This window comes from Homo sapiens, chromosome 5 (assembly GCF_000001405.40).
Source record: "Homo sapiens chromosome 5, GRCh38.p14 Primary Assembly".
NCBI lineage: Eukaryota > Metazoa > Chordata > Mammalia > Primates > Hominidae > Homo > Homo sapiens.
Genome location: NC_000005.10, coordinates 159,338,143 through 159,357,381, shown reverse-complemented (window position 1 = coordinate 159,357,381; position 19,239 = coordinate 159,338,143). Strand labels below are relative to the sequence as shown.

Here is a 19,239-nt window from a genome sequence, read left to right as displayed (position 1 = left end):
CGTTGTTGTGCTGCAATATAACATAGCCTAACCTGACTAATAAAGAACTTTTTAATCTTTCCCCCAGGCACCCACTTAGAATGGCCTTTTCAGCACTCCCCTCCCCACAATGCTCTAGACATTTTGCTTAGTGCTTTCTCCACCAAAACCTACCCACCCATATCACATGTCATCAGTGACAATGAGTTCATATATTAATTCTTGCTCACATACTAATGGCAACAGAAGTGTAAAAATGTTATCCCTTCTAGGAACAAATGCTCATGTTTTAGCTAGAGGCAAACACAACAAAATGTCCAAAATGTTCACAACAAAAATTCTCCCACAGGAGAATTTTTATCACCAAGGAAGTTCAAATAGAAAGAAATTTGGGACAAGCAAGACATTTTCTGACAATAATATCGAAAAATGTCTATGATGATTTTGTATACTTCATAAAGTACTTTTACACTCAGTATCTCAGGGGCAATAATTATTATTCCACTACACCATTAAAGGAATCGAGGCTTAGAAAGTTTCATTTGGTTGCTCAAGGTCACGTGGCTAATAAGAGGCAGATTCAGAACTATTTAATCCAGATCTTCTGACGCCAAGTACAGAATCCATCACCCAAGTATTTATAAATCATCTACCATGTACCACACATTTTGTGGGCTTTGGAGATACAGAAGTAAATAAAACAGAAAAAAAAATCCTTATCCTCATGAAGTTTATATTCTAGAGAGAGAAGAAAATGGTAGCCAAACAATAAATAAACATGTAAATTTATTTTGTGTCAGTTGGGAAGTATCATTATGAAGAAAAATAAAATCAAAGTATGGGTGATAGTGGGTGCTAGAGAATGCCATTTTATATAACGTAGTCATGGAAGGTCTTTCCAAAAAAAGGTGCATTTCAGCTGAAACCTGAATGAAGGAAGAGGAAAAGCCTTTTGGCTATTTAAAGTATAAACCTTCCAGATAGGGGTGGCAGCAAGGGCAAAGGCTCTGAGACAGGAGTGTGTTTGATGTTGTTGAGGAACAGTAAGGAGGCCAGTGTGGTTGGAGCAAGGTGGATAAGGGGACAAATTGTAGGAGGTGACAGCGATTAGGGAGTAGGGGCAGATCATGGAGAAACGAGTGTGCCAAGGTAAAGATTTTGGGCGTTATCATGAACAGAATGAGAGCCCTTTGGGCATGAGGAAGACTGGGCAGTCTGAGAGGAGCTAGCAATGTGTCAATCAATCAGTCAACAAATTAACTAACTAATTATTTTGGGGAATCCAACTAAGCATGCTCATCGGGCAACCTTAAAATGAATATGTTAAGAAACAAGAAAGGCTGGGGAAAAAACAATCATCTATGCTTTCATCTCAAGAAGTCAGGAATAGACAAATAAATTAAGCATGTGGTAGATCACATGTATCGGTTAGTAAATACCAAATATAATAAATTTATGATATTGGGTATCATCCATGTACCAATTCTGTCCAAATTGATCTACTGATACAATGTAATCCTAATAAAATTTCAACAGGACTTGTATGAAAATTGACAGGCTGACTCTAAAATTGATATGGAAATGTGAAGGACCAACGATAATCAAGACATTCTGAAACAGAAAAAATAAGATAGAATGACTGCTTCTACTCATTAAAAGATTTATTTTAGGCCAGGTGCGGTGGCTCACCCCTGTAATCCCAGCACTTTGGGAGGCTGAGGCGGGCGGATCACCTGAGGTCAGGAGTTTGAGGCCAGTCTGGCCAACATAGTGAAACCCCGTCTCTATTAAAAATACAAAAATTAGCCCAGTGTGGTGGCACATGCCTGTAATCCCAGCTAATCTGGAGGCTGAGGGAGAAGAATTGCTTGAGCCCAGGAGGTGGAGTTTGCAGTGAGCCGAGATCGTGCCACTGAACTCCAGCTTGGGTGACAGAGTGAGACTTCATCTCAAAAAAAAAAAAAAAAAAAAGATTTATTTTAAGATAACACAGTATTGGCACAAGAGTAGACCAGTAGATCAATGAAGAAGAAGAGATAACTCATGAATATATAGATACTTGTCTAATGATGAGTCACTGCAAACTAGTGGAGAAAAAACAATCTTTTCAATAAGTGGTACTAAGTTAACTGCATATCCACATAAGAAAAATGAAACTTGACCTTTACTTCACATCATACATAAAAATCAACTCTATGTGAATTATATATCTAAATGTGAAAGACAAACCAATAATGCTTTAGAAAGGAAGCATTATCCTATGGTAATAGGAGAATATCTTCATAATATTGCAGTGTGAAAATAGTTTTTATTTTTTATTATTTTGTATTTTTTGAGACAGGTTCTTGCTCTGTTGCCCAGGCTGGGGTGCAGTAGTGCCATCACGGCTCACTGTAGCTTCAACCTCTTAGGCTCAAGCAGATCCTCCCACCTCAGCCTCCCGAGTAGCTAGCACGAGCCACCATGCCTGGATAATTTTTTAATTTTTTGTAGAGATGGGGTCTCCCTATGTTGCCCAGGCTGGTCTCAAGCTCCTGGGCTCAAGCAGTCCTCCTGCCTCAGTCTGCAAATGTGCTGGGATGTGAGCCAGCCCAGGAAACAGTTTTTAAATAAAACAATACTAACCTGAAACAAAAGGATTAATAAATTAGCCTAAATTAAATTTAAGAACTTCTGGTCATCAAAACCTACCATGAAGAGAGTGAAACAGCAAGTCCCTGAGTGGGAGAAAATATTTGCCACACATGTAACTAATAAAGAGCTCATGCCAAAATTAAGGGCTTCTACCAATCAATAAGGTAAGACAACCAATGGACAAATCGATTCAAAACTTAACAGATAACTGATAGACTGAGAAGGTGCCTGGCCTCAAAAATAATCAGGGATATACAAATTTAAATGAGAATGAAATAACATTACAACCTCATCAGAATTGCTGAAACGTAAAAACTACTTATTCTTTTTTTTTTTTTTTTGGCAAAGGTGTAAAGCAAAGGAAACCCTCATGTGCTTACTTGTAGGAACATATGTGTTTATACCCACTTTGGAAACCAGTTTGCTATGTCTACCAAAGTTGAACATACAAATGACCCTATGAGCTGGTTGTTTCATACATAGAGAGGTATAGCAAAAAGAAATGCATAGCCTGTAACCCCAGCATTTTGGGAGGCCAAGGCAGCAGAATCATTTGAGCCCAGGAGTTTATGACAAGCCTGGGCAATAAAGGGATACCTCCGTCTCTATAAAAAATTTAAAAATTAACTGAGTGGGGATGCACATACCTGTAGTCCCAGTTACTCAGAAAGCTGAGGTGGGAGGGTTACTTGAACCCAGGAGTTTGAGGCTGCAGTGAGTCATGATCGTATCACTGCATTCCAGCCTGGGCAACAGAGTGAGATCCTGTCTCAAAAAACAAAAAGAAAGAAAAGGAAAAAGAAATGCATACGTATATTTGCCAAAAGAAATATACAAAAATGATGTGTCAGTATAATTTGTTATAACAAAAAACTCAAAATAAGCCCAACGTTCATCAGCAGGACAATATATAAATAACTTATGATATATAATCCTACATGAACTTAACTGTTTGAATATGGAAGTGACTTGGAGTCACATAAATAAATCTTGCTGACCTCAATAAAATATATCCTCAACTCCCCTACCCTCAGAGTCTAAGGCTTGGACAAACCCCAAAAACATCAATAGCTATCTCATTACCACTCAACAAAAGGCAAAATGTGAAGGCAGGAAAGTCAGAGTAGAAAGCACCACCACCTTAAGTGACTATGGTCAAAATATTCTCCTTATGTAAAATTTACAAAAACACATAAAAATGATGACAAATGACCATATGAACACTTTACTGAGCGCTCCACCCCACCTTAGGGCTTTGGAAGAGGTCTGTGTAAATGAGGGCCCCTATAGCTTAGGCTCTATTGTCTTAATGGTAAATCCAACTCTGGTTAGAAGTGAGATGATCACTTTTGGAAGGAAGAGAAGGATACAGATTGGGCAGTGGCACAGAGGGGACATCTGAAGTGATTGGCAATGTTCCATTTCTTGAACTAAGCAGTGGATGCATGTGTGTTTGTTTTGTGATAATTTATTGAGCTGTACATTTATACTTTGTGCATTTTTCTACATGTGTGCTATGTTTAAAATTTTTTTAAAGCTTAAAAGGTAACTATAAAAGGTGACAGATATGCTAATTTATTTGACTGTAGTAATCATTTCACTATATATAAGGATATTAAAATATTATGTTGTATGCCTAAAGTATACACAAATAAAAAATTATTTAATAATTTAAAAGGTAAAATGTTTAAAATTACTTTCCCAAAATAAAGTAATTAAACTTCCTAAAGTGGCTAATTAGCAAGGCTTGCTATTTTACACATTTAACATATTGGAGAGACAGTTTGCAAAGATTATTTCCTTGGAATCAGATAAACCAGGTTCAACTCCCAACTTGCATCACTGAATAACTCTATAAAGTTGCACTGTTCAATATGCTAACAACCAGCCATAGTGGCTATTAGGCACTTGAAATGTAACTATTCCAGTTTAAGAGGTGCTAAATACCATGCTCCTAAATAACCAATGGGTCAAAGAAATAATCAAAAGAGAAATTAAAAGTACTTTGAGATAGAAGAAAATAAAGATATGGCATACCAAAACCTAAGAAATGTAGCTGGATCACCGCTCAGAAGACAATTTAGAGCTGTAATGCATATATTAGAAAAAGAAGAAAGACCTCTAAGCAATAACCTAACCGTAAAACATTGGAAGAAGAAAAGCAAATGAAACTTAAAGTGAGCATAAGGATGGACATTATAAAGATTAGAGTGGAAAATGATAAAATAGAGGAAAAAGAAACCATTCCAAAAATTGATGAAATCAAAAACTGGTTCTTTGTAATGATCAACAAAATTGGCGAACCTTTAATTAGACTGCTGAGAAAAAAGGGAGACAACTCAAATTACTAGAACCAGAAACAAAAGATGGAACATTACTACCAACCTTATAGAAATAAAAAGGATTAAAAAGGATTCAAAATAATTATAATATTCTTATGAACAATTATATGTCAATAAATTAAATAACTTAGACCATCTTAGACCAACAATCTCAGTAGACCTCTAACAACCAAAGAAATTGAATTTGTGATAAAAAAATTACCCACAAAGAAAAGCTCAAGACCAAATGGCTTCACTGCTGAATTGTACCAAACGTTTAAAGAAGTAATGTCAATTTTTCACAAGCTCTTCCAAGAAAATAAAAGAGGAGGAAACACTTCTTAACTTATTCTATGAAATTAGTATTACCCTGATATCAAAACCAGACAAACACATCTCAAAAAAAAAACTGCAGACCAAAATTACTTAAGAATATGGAGGCACAAATTCTCAACAAAGTACTAGCAAACTAAATCCAGCAACATACAAAGAGACTGCATTTCATGACTAAGTGAGACTCATCCCTGGAATGAAAGATTGGTTGGTTTAACATCAAAAAATCAATTAATATAATACACCATATCAATAGAATAAAAAACAAAAGCCACATAATCTTCTCAATAGATGCTTTAAAAAGATTTTATGAAACCCAAACTCTTCTATAATATTAAAAAGAATAAGAACTCAAAAAACCTAGGAATGGAAGGGAATTTCCTCAACCTAATAAAGAGAATCTGTGAAAAAACTCACAGCTAACATCATACTTAGTGATGAAAAACTGGATGTTTTCTCCTAAGATCAGAAATGAGACAAGAATATCTATTCTCACCACTTCTATTTAACATTATACTGAAAGTATTAGCCAGTGCAATTAGACAACAAAAAAAAAGGAATTTAAAGGTATTCAGATTGGGGAAAAGAGAAGTAAAATTATCTCTATTCAAACATGACATAATATTGAATATAAAAAATTCTAAGACCAGCGAGAAATTATTTGAGTCAACAAGTATAATTTATCAGGGTTTCCAGAGAAACAGAACCAAGAGAATGTATATATATTGCACACATATACACACACACACACAGAGATTTATTATAAGAAATTCGCTCATGTGATTATGGAAGCTGACTAGTCCTAAAATCTGAAGCCTACAAGCTGGGGGCCCAGGGGAGCTAATGGCTTAGTTCTAGTCCTAGTCCAAATGTCTGAGAACCAGGAAAGCTAATTTTTTATTTACTTACAAAAGAGTTCTGTGGCTTTTTTTAAAATAACTTTAAGTTCTAAGGTACATGAAGACAATGTGCAGGTTTGTTACATATGTATATGTGTGCCACGTTGGTGTGCTGCACCCATTAACTCATCATTTACTTTAGGTATATCTCCTAATGCTGTCCCTCCCCTCTCCCCCCACCCCATGACAGGCCCCAGTGTGTGATGTTCCCCATCCTGTGTCCAAGTGTTCTCATTGTTCAATTCCCACCTATGAGTGACAACATGCAGTGTTTGGTTTTCTGTCCTTGTGATAGTTTGCTCAGAATGATGGTTTCCAGCTTCATCCATGTCCTTACAAAGGACATGAACTCATCCTTTTTTATGGCTGCATAGTATTCCATGGCATATATGTGCCACATTTTCTTAATCCAGTCTATCATTGATGGACATTTGGGTTGGTTCCAAGTCTTTGCTATTGTGAATAGTGCCACAATAAACATACATGTGCATGTGTCTTTATAGTAGCATGATTTATAATTCTTTGGGTATATACCCAGTAATGGGTTGGCTGGGACAAATAGTATTTCTAGTTCTAGATCCTTGAGGAATCGCCACACTGTCTTCCACAATGGTTGAACTAGTTTACAGTCCCACCAACAGTGTAAAAGTGTTCCTATTTCTCCACATCCTCTCTAGCACCTGTTGTTTGCTGACTTTTTAATGATCGCCATTCTAACTGGTGTGAGATGGCATCTCATTGTGGTTTTGATTTGCATTCAGGAAAGCTAATGTTGTAGTTCTAGTTTGAAAGCCAGCAGACTCAAGACTCAGAAAGAGCTAATGTTTCAATTCAAGTTCAAAGGCAAGAAAAAACAGATGTTGCAGCTCAGAGGTAGTCAGGCAGAAGAAATTCCTTTTTATTTGTGGGCAGGGTCAGCCTTTTTTTCTATTCAGACTTTTAACTGATTAAATGAGGCTAAGCTACATTACGAAGGGAAATCTACTTTACTCAGTCTATCAATTTCTATCAATTTAAATGTCAAACTAATCCAAAACATCCTCCCAGAAGCACATAGAATAATGTTTGACTAAATATGTGGGCACCTCATGTCCCAGTGAAGTTGACACAAAAAATTAACCATCACAGCAAGATTGCATGAAACAAGATCAATATACAAAAATAATTGTATTTTTATACAATTGCAATGACCAATATGAAAATTAATAGGAAAATTCATCTGCAATAGCACCAAAAAGTATTAAATACTTAGGAATAAATTGAACAAAAGAAATGAAAGTTATATGCTGAGAACTGCAAAACATTGTTGAGAAAATAAAGAAGGTCTAAATAAATGGAGAAAACCCTATAATCACGGGTTTTCCAATCCTTAACATTGTTATACTCCCCAAACTGATGTGTAAATTCAACACATTCCCTATCAGAATCCAAACTGACTTCTTTGTACAAATTAACAAGTTGATTTAGAAACTTATATGGAATTAAAAGAGATCTGGAATAGCCATAATAATCCTTAAAAAGAAGAATAAAGTATGAGGACTCAAACTTCTCTATTTCAAAACTTAACTACAAAACAACAATAGTCAAGACAGTATGGTACTGGCATAAGGATAGGCATACAGATCAATGGAACAGAACATTGAGAGCACAGAAATAAACCCATATGTCTATGGTCAACTGATTTTGGCAAGGGTACCAAGACCCTTCAGTGGGGGAAAATGGTCTTTCCAACAAATGGTGCTGGGATAACAGAATAGTCACATGAAAAAGAATAGGGACGTCTATAGAGATTTAAATTAGATTAGGGGTAGTTTATGGCTGAGGATGGGGTCAGGGTGGTAGGTGAGTGCTAGCCAAAAGATAGGAGATTTCATCTCAAGGGGATGAAAACTTTCTAAAATTGCGGTGGCTCACACCTATAATCCCAACATTTTGGGAGGCTGAGGCAGGAGGATCACTTGAGCCCAGGAATTTAAGACCAGCCTGGGCAACAGAGTGAGACCCTGTCTCTACAAAAAATTAAAAAGTTAATACCGAGTGTGGTGGTAGATGCCTGCAGTCCCATCTACTCAAGAGGCTGAGGCAGGAGGATTGCTTGAAGCCAGGAGGTCTAGGCTTCAGTGAGTTATGATTGCAATGCTGCACTCCAGCCTGGCCAACAGAGCAAGACCCTGCCTCAAATAAATAATATTTATATATCAAATAAATAATAAATATAAAATTGTGTAAAATTTAGTATATTAACATATGTGTAACCATTTGTGTGTAACCATGTGAATATATTAAATTTTACACAATTTTAATTTAAAATTGTTACACATATGTAAATATATTAAAAGCCATTGAATTGTATACTTTAAATGGGCAAACTGTATAGTATGTGAATTATATCTCAATAAGGCTATTTGTTTAAAAAAAAGAAGAAACTCTAAATTTTAAAGACAATGCAAAAAATACACAAGGCATCTCATTAATTTTTACACTGATTACATATTAAGATGATAATATTTTATATATATTGGTTTACATAAAATATATAATTAAAATTAATGTCATGTTTCTTTTTATTTTTTAATATGGCTACTAAAAAAATTCAAAATTACATATATGGCTCATTTTATATTTCTATTGGATAACGCTGCTCTAGAGATTTTACACACATTTGTAAAATGTGTGTAAAAAAACACTCTGAACCCTAACTTCCTTATATGTTATAAGGCTGTAATAATAGTACTGGCTTCACACAGTTATGGTGAGGATTAAATGGTTTTAAAGAACTTAGCATTTGGATGTTAGCTTTTATTCTAAGTGTTAGTTCTTATTATCAGAGAAGCCTCTGGGTACCATTGAGTACAGCAGTGATATAAAAAAACCCCAGTAGACACCTTGGATTTATTTTACTATTATAAAATTATTTTTAGAAATGAATCTTAGAAACCATCACATCCAGTAATCACTAACTGTCACCTTGCCAAACTGTTGTTTAACAACCCCCTGGTTTTCAAAACTTGAATCTGAGTATCTTTATTGTGGGACTGCGCTCTCTACTTTGCTGTAAGCCTGACCACTCCCTGTTCCCTTAGCAGAGCCTCACACCTGAGTTACTTCCTTGGTATTGGAGGTATTTGCATTTATACCTGATCCTACACTAGTCCAAGCCCCTCACCTTCCTGATGAAGAAACTGGGGCCCGTGGAAGGGACACTGAGCTGCTAAATGCAGAATTCAGCCTGCAGAGGACCAGGCCAGTCCTCACACAGGCAATGCATTATCCAGAAGACCCTGACTAGCAGGGACTGCAACACAGGCTATTCAGCTTGTATGCTAACACGCTATCCTTGGGAGTCTTGGTGGGACTTCCAGTGTTCTTTAGTTTATTGCCACTGGAGAACTAAATCATTATTGGCAATCATGATACCTTTAATGGAGACCAGTGGATCATTCTGATGCAGAGGGAGAGAAGATGGTACTTGGAACTCAGAAGTTCCAAATAGCCTGGTTTAACATACGCAAAAAATCCAGTTCTGTGTAAATCTGCCAATTAGCCATCTCTGCAGCACTGATCTCCCTTTTATTTCCTTCCTCATACTTGTTTATCAAATAATACTTACCAAAGCTCAATCATCTGATTCCCAGGGTAAGCCCAGAGAGAAGTGTGACCTGGGATAATTAGTCCCATTTCATTGTTGAGGAAACTGGGCCTAAAGAAGACAGGAATGGGAGAGCTAAGCCAGGACCAGAAGAGAGTTTGGCAAAGTTCACTGAATGCATATTTTGTTTTTGCCATATGCAAATACCACCTGCATTATTTAGTTATCTTTCTTTTTCTTCTTCTTTTTTTCTGCTCTGTCACACCAGTGCAGTAGTATGATCATAGCTCACTGCAGCCTCAAACACCCTGTCTCAAGTGATCGTCCCACTCCTCCCACCTCGGCCTCCTCAGCAGCTGGGACTACAGGTACGTACCGCTATGCCTGGCTTTTATTTTTAAGAGACGGGGTCTCACTACGTTGCCCAGACTGGTCTCAAACTCCTGGCCTCAAGTAATCCTCCTGCCTTTAGTTTTTATTTTCCTTTAACAGGCACTTACTGTTTTTATGTAAGTCAACTGATGTTGAAAGGAAATTTTACTTCAATGCCTTCAGTAGAAAACTAGTATCACGTGCCATTAATAGAAGGTTAATAAATATAATACAAAACAATTCTAATTAGAAACCGTTGTCTGGAGAGCTTCTAAAAATCCTAATGCCCAAGCCAGACCTTAGAGCTATTAAACTGGAATTCCTCTGGGGAGGAAGCAATTAGGCATAAGTAATTTGTTAAAGCTCTCCCCAGGAAATAGCATCATGCAGCCAAGGATGAGATCCACTAGAATAGATGCTGTTGCCTGCTAATGCCTCTAAGGCTGAAGAGTGCTTGCCCTCCTTAAGAAGAGAGATCAACAAGTGATAGAGAGGTATTAAAGAGACAATAGGCCTGGCGCGGTGCCTCATGCCTGTAATCCCAGCACTTTGGGAGGCCGAGGCGGGAGGATCACAAGGTCAGGAGATTGAGACCATCCTGGCTAACACGGTGAAACCCCATCGCTACTAAAAATACAAAAAATTAGCTGGGCGTGGTGGCGGGCACCTGTAGTCCCAGCTACTTGGGAGGCTGAGGCAGGAGAATGGTGTGAACTCAGGAGCCGGAGCTTGCAGTGAGCCGAGATCGCACCACTGCACTCCAGCCTGGGCGACAGAGCAAGACTCTGACTCAAAAAAAAAAAAAAAGAGAGACAATAGCCTAAAACCGACACTTTCTCCTTAGCATCAGAAGAACTGAAAAGTAACTTTGAAATGGGAAAAGTTTTCATTTGTAATTTGTTACTGTTGAATCAGTTGCTCCTTTGCAGTCTAAAACCAGCTCACATGGCACTTGCCCTTTGGAAAACACTGGATCAGAAGACCCCAGGTGGTGTGGTTTCTATTCCTGTGCCCTTTCAGCTCCAGCAGCTAGCTTCCCAGCCAAAGACTCCCACAAGGTCACTGGAGAACCCCTACTCACCTCTGTGTGTTCTCCAGCAGGGACTCCAAAATGCCTGCATTTACATCACACTGTCAGACACATCCTTCTATTTCAAAATGAATCTTCTCAGTGGCTCACATTAAAAACCTTAAGGCAAAACCGCATCTCCGTCTCCTTTCATTTCCTCTCAAGAAGCCCCTTGTTTTCGTCTAGGAATATCTGGCCCTAGAGAAGGCTTAAGTCAGCCCTGCCCTTTTGGATCTTAAAAAGAGGTATAGCTAGGGAAGAGGGAGAAACAGGAGACTCAGTGCAGATCCGCACATGACTTTGAGAGGGTCTTCTGCTGTGAAGTTTCTCTTTCATCCCTCACCTCTGAACACACACAAGACTGTCCTGATGGACGGATGCATTTAGAATGAAAGCTGGACTTTTGGGTGAGGATTCCAGATCTCCATAACATCATTTTCTTATCTGGCTTGGGGCATCACTGAAAGAACTGGGTACCTGCCTCTGTGGACTAGGGTTTGAAGAGCTGCCCCAGAAGGACTACATGGCCTCAAGAGCAAGCAGTTTGGCTCACTAGGCAGGTTGTTGAGCAAACCTCTGATCTGCTTACTTCCTACATTTACAACCTAGAACGCTGACACAGTGCCTACCACCAGATGAGCAGGCTACTTTACTGTCTTGTCAGCAGAATCCTTCTGTCTTGTTTCCCTTAGAGCCTAAGGTTCTGCTTTGAGGTCTCCTCCCTATTCTCCATCTCAAAGTTACACAGTCCCACCTCCTAGCCTTAGCTCTTGTTGTGCCCATAGTCCAGAATGTTCTTCTGCCCCATCCCTGTCTGTCCAAAGCCTACCCACCCTCAAAGCTGATTGAAAATGTCAACTCCTCCATAAAGCCTAAGATGATTCCCCTGGTCAAATAATAACAGTAATGGAATTAACAAAAAATAACAGTAATAATAATAGCCTAGCATTTGCTGAGTACTGCTGTGGGCAGGCAATGGGCTAAGATCTCATACTCATAATCTCAACCAAATCTTATACTAGATGTATCTTATTATCCCTGCCCTGCCATTTTTGATATCAACTTACTTGTTCTCTCTGTGCCTCATTTTTCTCAGATATCAATGGGGATTATAATATGTCTTCCTTGTAAGATTGTTTTAGGTATAAAATAAGCTAGTGTATATAAAGCATCAGCATAGTACCTGACACTATGGTTTTGGCTTAGTGAGTATCATTACTTCTTGTAACAACTTAAAGGTCTGGGTTTGTACTGATAAGGACAGGAGGAAGGGAAATACTGGGTAGAAGAGGGCAGGGTCCATGGCAAGGACTCCACCCTCAAGCCTGGACCCGCAGCCCTAGATGAGAACTTCACATCCCTGTTTTCCCGCTCGAATGTTGCCTTTTCTAAAACCACCCTGGCATGCCACACTTCCCTCCCCACCCTGTACCCACAAAAACTCCAAGTTCCACTGGCAGAGGAGCAGAGCGGTGCAGCAGAGAAGGAGAGAAGGGAAGAAGTGTCTGAACATCAAGAGTAGAAGAGGCAGCTGGACATCGGAGACTATGGTTGGAGAGGAATTTGGCCAGGAATGGCTGAACTCCAGAGGAAGAGTATCTTCCCACTCCATCCCCTTTCTAGCTCCCCATCCCACTGAGAGCCACCTCCACCACTCAATAAAGTCTCCACATTCACCATCCTTCAAGTCCCTGTGACCTGATTCTTCCTGGACATAGGACAAGAACCTGGGTATCAAGAGGGCAGGGTGTGAAAGGCTGTCACCCCAACCCTCCACTGAGCGGGTAAACACTTAGCTGTCTGTGGACAGCAAATGCTAAAAGAGTATTGTTTGTAACACATGCCCCCTTGGGCTCCAGAGGTCATGGACAACCCCTAGACACTGCCACAGGCTGGTACACAGTTTGTTCCTAATGGCTTCCAAAGGCAATCACCCCAGCTCCTGCTCCTGCTCTCCTGTGTGCTCCCCCTCATGCAAGGGGTTTGAGTGCAGTGGCCAAGTAAACAAGTCACCAATGTTGCAAGTCCCATGAGGAGGTCAAGGGAACAATCCCATCTCAGTATTATTCTCATCTTATAGATGAGAAAACCAAGCAATAGAGGTTGAGTAAACAGTCCAAGTTCAGTGACAAGCAAGAATTTTACTTCCCTCTGGTCTTCACTGAACTTTGCTCATCACAAAGATGATGTAAGGATAATCTTCCAGTTGCCATGGGAACTCATTTCATCAGCATCTCAGCCATCCTAGATGATTTGCATACATGACTTTATGCAGAAAGAGAAAGTTAAACTGACTTGAAGTCAACTGGCTCTACTGGCTACTGTCCTTTGAGATACTGTGATATTTGCATTGCATCATGGTTCTAGGGTATCCCAAAGACAGGTCTGCTCATTAATCCTCATACTTTCTCTCATTCACCAAGAATGTGATCCAGCTAGGGAAACAGACGAGAGCGACCAAGGAACGTGCTGGTGGAGCAGGTGTTGAATTCCTTCTCTGCATTTCTGCTCTTCCACTCTTTAATTGCCTTCTGGCAGGATGTTCCTGACTGCAGAGGCAACACCTAAAGCTTAGCCAGCTTAACTGCAGGTCTGCACAATAACAAACCCTTCAGAATTTCAGCACTCATTTCTTCATCAAGGGCCCCAAAATTATGGTTGTGTATCACCTACTCATTTCCTCTTGGTTCAACCTCACATGCTTTCATACTACTGCTGACCATCTGTACATGTTACTCACCCCTTTCCTCCTTTCCTCTATTCAAATAAGCCAGGCTGGGTTCGCACTCCAGAGGTACCCCTATTGATGGTTGGGCAAATAGGATACAGTTTCCAGAAAGAGTGACAACTTTGCTTCCTGGAATCCCTGCACAAAATGCAGGGTCACATATGGCCCTGAGGAGGGATTTGGTGGCAAAGAGATATCTAACTTTAGTAGTTTGAAAGTACTATGGCTAGCTGTGGTTCCAAACTCTCTACCAGGTCACCCTGGGGTAGCATAGTAAATTCACAGGACTGTTGGGAGGTATTTTAAATTTTCCAAGGGAAAGACAGGATCCTCCATATCTGTTGAACACTGCACAAACTCAGGGTTGTTCATGGTTTCAACATTAGATTACGTCATATTCCTTTCAGTGATGGCATCTTTTGGGGAAGCCATGTTTTTGGCAGTTACTGTGACAAAAAGCAAGTGCCACAAGGAAATCAGTGTGGAACAGGAAATGAAGGTGGCAGTGTCCACTCTGATTCCAAAGTTTAAGGAGTTGCACAGTGCCCAGCAGGCCACACATCCCATGAGTAAGTAATTGTGATGATTTCAGAATACAAAAAAATATTTTTTTTGTTTCAATGTATCATTTTTTTTCAAATGGCCAATACAAAGTTTTTAGCACATAAAGACTTTTAAGCGATTTGACCCTAACTAGTTAATCAATGAATCTATTTGGTATTTCTTTTGGCCTACAGATGCCATGAAAAAATTACTGAAGCACTAAGCGTTCTGCGACCAAGGAAGATTTGGAAACTTCTGGTCTGGTCAAGTCAGCCATGTTTCACAGCTCCCAAGAACTTCATTGGTACCTGATCCTATGACAAAGCATACCTGGGTCTTGGTTTTGGTTATCGTGGTTGTTTCATCTCAGAGACTTTTACATATTTTCAGTGCTAAATGTGCCTACTACATGGGGCCTGTGCAGCCATGTGCCTCGGCCAGCACCTGCCTCAGACTCCCTGGGCATCTCTCCCTTTCCTCTGCGCTTAAGTCACACCAACCTCCTTTCCATTCCTCCAACCCGCCAAGCCCTCTCCCATTGTAGGGGCTTCTTACTGATTCTCATCCTGGTTCACCTGTAGGTCCCAACTTAAATGCCACCTCATCAGAGAGCCCTCCCCTGTGATTCTCTGTCTCACCACCCATTCATTTCCTTCATAGCATTTTGTCCTCTGCACATATCTATTTAGCTCTATGAGGACAGAGTCCAGGTCTGATCTGCTTACTACATTCACAGAATTTAGCTGGGTGCCTGATATGTAATTGTCACTCAATAAATAACCGCAAGGTTAACAAGTGTCAGTTTAAATCATACACACATTTTAACTGGGGCCCTGTGCAGCCCAAAGCATTTCAGAAGGCTTTTCTGGCAAACAGCCCATCAGATAGACACGTGGGACAATTGCATCACTAGCCACAGGCAGAGACAGTCAAGGGCGGTGTTTGCGATCAAGAATCCCAGCTCTGCCACCTCCTTGCTGGCAGACATTGGGCAAGTTACTCATTCTGCCTCTACCAGCCATGTCTTTGCTTGGAAAAGGGTTGTTAAAAGGACTAACTATAAAGCTCTTAAGTAAAATCTGTCAAGAAACAAGCACTCTAAATAAAAGTAAGCTGCTTTTATTAGGACAAGGACAGTGTTCAAGGACTATCCCATGAATGCCCACACACCATTCTGAGAGGAAGTTTCTGCCTCAGAAACTGACAGGTCCAATGCTTCTTGCTTGTTTTAGAATAAAAGGCTCAATTCAAAAAATGATATATGGACAATTAATTCTTAGCCCCATTGGTGTCCCCCACACAACTCATGATTAAAACCAAAAAGAATCTGTTATGGAACTTTGATTATCCAGCTGGACAACAGAAATGGAGAATGTTAGGCAGTGACTGTCAATTTGTCTAGACTCAAACTGCTCTATGGCACCAAGCACATGGTGGAATGTGTGTGCCTAATCCTTCCAGTCCTTTGCTTGTCCCCTTCTAACCAGCTCTCTTCATGTTCTAGGCTTAAAAGTAAGCCCAGTGCACCATGATGTTGTTCCGGTTGTACCTGGGGAGTTCCAGGGGCCAAGGGCTGCTCACAGTCACAGAGAGGAAATGACACATGGCTCCTCTTCTTGCAGTGGGAAGAAGCATGAGTACCAGCCTTCATCTGTCCACACCTTAGTTACTGTTGCTCTCTTTCCTGGGTCTCCTTCGCCCAGCCTCTCCCCTACCTGATCCTCATGTCTGGATGCCTCATTTTCACAACCCCCTGGAATCACATCACTCTCCTCCCCAAGCGCTATCTACACTTCCTATTTCATGCATACCCACATCTTAGAAAACCATTTCTCCCACTGGCTTCCTATAGATGGCCTAGCTAAGGGTAATGTCTTTTCTGCTAACCTGATTTGCTGTCACTTTATAAATTTTATATAGGATGGTCTTACAAGACAGATGGTACTGATGGACTCAAACACGTGATGTGTTTCAATCCCAGATTCTCCATCTACTAGCTACATTTTTCATGGAAAGTTAGCTTTACATCTCTAAGCCTCAGTCTCCTCACCAGTAAAGTGGGCAGAATAATTTCCACCTCATAGCTTTGTTGTGAGTACGAGATGAGAAAACTCACATGAAACACACACCACAGTAACTGGTCCACAGGAAGCACACCCAAAAAGTCTACTACTGTGGTTGCTGAGGTCAACCCCCCATTTGGTAGATCTCAGCTTAGACATCATCTATTCTGGAAAACCTTCCCTCACCGCCACCCCGAAGATGTGTGTGCATCTAAAGCACCCTTGCTGTGATTGTCATTGCAAGGCGTGTCACACTGCCATGTCATTGCCTCTTAGCTTTTTTTTCTTTTGCCCCCTAGAATACTGTGAGCACATTACTGGTGGGGGCAGTGTTCCTTCTACTGGGGCAGAGCACCTAGCACAAAGTACGTGCTCAGGACATATTCTATCATATTAAAAATAGCTATTTAGGCCGGGCACGGTGGCTCACGCCTGTAATCCCAGCACTTTGGGAGGCCGAGGCGGGCGGATCATAAGGTCAGGAGATCGAGACCATCCTGGCTAACATGGTGAAACCCCGTCTCTATTAAAAATACAAAAAAATTAGCCGGGCGTGATGGCGGGCACCTGTAGTCCCAGCTACTTGGGAGGCTGAGGCAGGAGAATGGTGTGAACCCGGGAGGCGGAGCTTGCAGTGAGCCAAGATCGAGCCACTGCACTCCAGCCTGGGCTACACAGAGAGACTCCGTCTCAAAAAAAAAAAATCTACTTAAACAAGCAATCTAATAAAGATGAAATTTTGCTGTGTTATACACTTATTATTGCTACATTGGAAGACTAGACTCCCTTGGCAACCAAACACATTCTTTTTTATATTATTTAATTTTAATAAGAGTTACCATATATTGATCCATCTTCTATGCCAAATGTAACTTAATCCTTCTATCAGTTCTCTGAGGTAGATATTATCAGTAGTCCCATCTTATAAGGAAAATGAGGCTCAGAGAATTGAGGTACTTTGCCCAAGATCATTCAGCTAGTAGAACAGAGCTGGGACCCAAACCCAAGACCATTCATCTCCAGTGTCTGTTTGCTTTGCTGCCTCCAATAAGACTGAGGATGCCACTTTCCTTTTTGTTAAATTTTCTGGCCTCCCAAATACCGTAGAGTGGCATTTCATTATTATTGGCACCTACATAACAAACATGGTAATGCCTTTGATGTAAATTCCTTTGGTGACTAATCAACCCCACCTTGCCATATTTTTGTCTTTGGCACTATTTAACTTTCATGCTTCGTCAAGTCTCCTTAACTGGAGTGTAACTGGCTGGTGACAGTGCCAAGGTCTTAAGATTCTTTCTGTCTCCCCAGGTCTAAAAGGAACATCTCTCACCTACTAAAACACATAAATGAAATTGGGTTTCTGTCTATTTGGCTGTTCCATGTTCAAGTAAAATGACTAGAAGATCATCACCAAGTCTGAAGGGTATTTGGGACAGCTTGATTTGGATCTGTGGTATACACAGCTTTCACACTGGGGGACCAGGGAGGCACCTCAAGAAGATAGACACACTTAGTAACCTTTGTACTATTTGACTTTTTTTTTTTTTTTTTTTTTTTTTTTGAGACAGAGTCTCTCTCTGTGACCCAGGCTGGAGTGCAATGGTCCAATCACAGCTCACTGTAACCTCAGCCATCTGGGCTCAAGTGATACTCCTGCCTCAGCCTCCTAAGCAGCTGGGACCACAGGCATGTGCCACCACACCTGGCTAATTTTTTAAATTTTTTTGTAGAGGTGGACTTTCGCCATGTTGCCCAGGCTGATCTCAAACTCCTGGCCTCAAACAATCCTCCCTCCTCAGCCTCCCAAAGCTCTGGGATTACAGGTGTGAGCCACCATGCCCAGCATAGTTTATTTTAAACTAGAGGCATGAGTTACTTTTTTAAAGTACCATCAAGAATAAAGATAGATAGATAGATAGATAGATAGATAGATAGATAGATAGATAGATAGACAGATAGACAGATAAATTTTCAAAGCCAAAAATTAGAGAGAAAATGACAGGGCAGAAGACCAGGGGTCATAGTTATTTTCCAGAGCAGATTTCCAGAACAAGATACAATAAAAGCCTGATGAATATTAATATAAATTTTCTGTGAATGGAGAAACAAATGCGCCTTAAATGTGAGTCCCAAATCAACTGTCACAAAGGAAGATGCTCCAAATTGCAGGCCCCGATTTTTGGTCAATCTATTTCTCTCCAGGAGAATTCTATGTGCTCTAGGGTGAGTAGCAGCAGTAATGTACTTTATTGGATGGTGCTTTAACAATTCATCCTATAAATGCAGGGGATGCTGGTTAATATTCAATAATTGTTGGTTGGAGGTGATGTTGATAGGGGACCCTCAGACAATAGATGCCAGGACTTCACCACAAACATCTGCCCACTCCATGTTGTTCCCACCTTGTCTTGTTCTATCTGTCTCTACTAACAGCAAGACCAGACCAACTGTTCTCATACCTTTCTAGCATAAGCATTTCTACATCTCAGCAATCCTACAACCTAGGACACACCCACTTCCTTCCAGTTGCCCACACACCCATTTCTTTCACTGGGATTACCAAAGAGTTGAATTTAGAAAGGAAAAAAAAAAAAAAGGTTTCCATATGCAAATGGCAAAATCAAGGTCAAGGTGGAACACTTGCTCTGCAGTCAGTCCAGTTGAGCAGGCCAAAAATGCCCACTGGGATAATGAAATTCAGTAGTG

General features: G+C 40.2%; 1 long non-coding RNA gene across 1 annotated transcript in view; it reads right to left on the bottom strand.

Moving 5' to 3' along the window:
- The window catches only part of IL12B-AS1 (IL12B antisense RNA 1), a 31,317-nt gene that overhangs the window by 5,453 nt on the left and 6,625 nt on the right, over positions 1-19,239 (bottom strand). Inside the window, exons 3-4 of the long non-coding RNA NR_037889.1 lie at positions 9,777-9,866; positions 3,261-3,378 (exon numbers count right to left, since the gene is read on the bottom strand). This is a non-coding gene — a long non-coding RNA (IL12B antisense RNA 1). The remainder of the gene's footprint in view (positions 1-3,260; positions 3,379-9,776; positions 9,867-19,239) is intronic.